Raw genomic sequence first — 1,788 nt, forward strand, 5'->3', positions numbered from 1 at the left:
GTTTACCTCTGAGCTTTCTGGTATCCAAGGGGAAAAGGAAAATATGTTGGCTCTATATATTTCTTCCAAAGTAAGAATGCTACAAAGAAATTAATCATACGGCATCACATATGTGACACTGACATATTGGACAATGTTTTAAAAACAATTTTGCTTATAATTTATTTCACTGATTTATTTTACATATATGAAATAGAAAAATGATATTCCAAAGAATTATGCCTCTCAAATTTTGGAGGAAATTATTTTTTAGAAATAAAAAATTAAATTCAAATTGCACAAATAAAAGATAAGTTTAAGCTCTGCTTAAAAGTAAATTTCAGAGACGTTCTTCGCCGAGAGTCGTCGAGGTTTCCTGCTTCAACTGTGCTTGGACGGAACCCGGCGCTCGTCCCCCACCCCGGCCGGCCACCCATAGCCAGCCCTCCGTCACCTTTTCACCGCGCCCTCGGACTGCCCCAAGGTCCCCGCCGCCGCTCCAGGGCCGCGCAGCCACCGCCGCCGCCTCTCCTTAGTCGCCGCCTTGACGACCGCGTCCACCTCGCAGGTGCGCCAGAACTACCACCAGGACTCAGAGGCGGCCATCAACCGCCAGATCAACCTGGAGCTCTACGCCTCCTACGTTTACCTGTCCATGTCTTACTACTTTGACCACGATGATGTGGCTTTGAAGAACTTTGCCAAATACTTTCTTCACCAATCTCATGAGGAGAGGGAACATGCTGAGGAACTGATGAAGCTGCAGAACCAATGAGGTGGCCGAATCTTCCTTCAGGATATCAAGAAACCAGACTGTGATGACTGGGAGCGGGCTGAATGAGATGGAGTGTGCATTACATTTGGAAAAAAATGTGAATCAGTCACCACTGGAACTGCACAAACTGGCCACTGACAAAAATGACCCCCATTTGTGTGACTTCATTGAGACACATTACCTGAATGAGCAGGTGAAAGCCATCAAAGAATTGGGTGACCACGTGACCAACTTGCACAAGATGGGAGCGCCCGAATCTGGCTTGGCGGAATATCTCTTCGACAAGCACACCCCGGGGAGACAGTGACAATGAAAGGTAAGCCTCAGGCTAATTTCCCCATAGCCGTGGGTTGACTTCCCTGGTCACCAAGGCAGTGCATGCATGTTGGGGTTTCCTTTACCTTTTCTATAAATTGTACCAAAACATCCACTTAAGTTCTTTGATTTGTACCATTCCTGCAAATAAAGAAATTTGGTACCCCCCCCCAAAAAAAAGTAAATTTCAATAGAAGATTGTTGTTTTCCTTGAATAAGAAGCTGAAATTGTGGAGTGAAGTTTTTATTTGGTTTAATTTTTATGGGGGTTTTTATTTTTTAATTTTTATTTTAGATTCAGGGGGTACGTATGCAAGTTTGTTAACTGAGTATATTGTGTGATGCCGAGGTTTGGAGTATATGAATGATCCCATCACCCAAGTACTGAGCATAATACCCAACAGTTTTTCAACCTATCCCCTCCCTCCTCCCTCCCTCCCTCCCTGCCTCTTCTAGTAGTTCCTAGTTTCTATTGTTGCTATCTTTAGGACAATGGTTTTTTAATTATATTTTTAGAAAAGACACAGAGACCTTTGATTGAATATTTTCACTATCTACCCTCTATAAAAATGCAGTCAAAACATCAAATCACAACTCACTCACTGAAAACATCTTTTTGGGAAAACTGAGGGAATATAATCCAGGTACGTATTTTCCTGAAAATCCAAACAAATTTTTTTCAAACCTGGCTGCACAACAGAATCAACTGGGGAGTTTTT

General features: G+C 42.7%; 1 pseudogene; it reads left to right on the forward strand.

Moving 5' to 3' along the window:
* FTH1P8 (ferritin heavy chain 1 pseudogene 8) lies at positions 324-1,235 on the forward strand (annotated as a pseudogene).

Source organism: Homo sapiens, chromosome X (assembly GCF_000001405.40).
Source record: "Homo sapiens chromosome X, GRCh38.p14 Primary Assembly".
NCBI classification, from domain to species: Eukaryota; Metazoa; Chordata; class Mammalia; order Primates; family Hominidae; genus Homo; species Homo sapiens.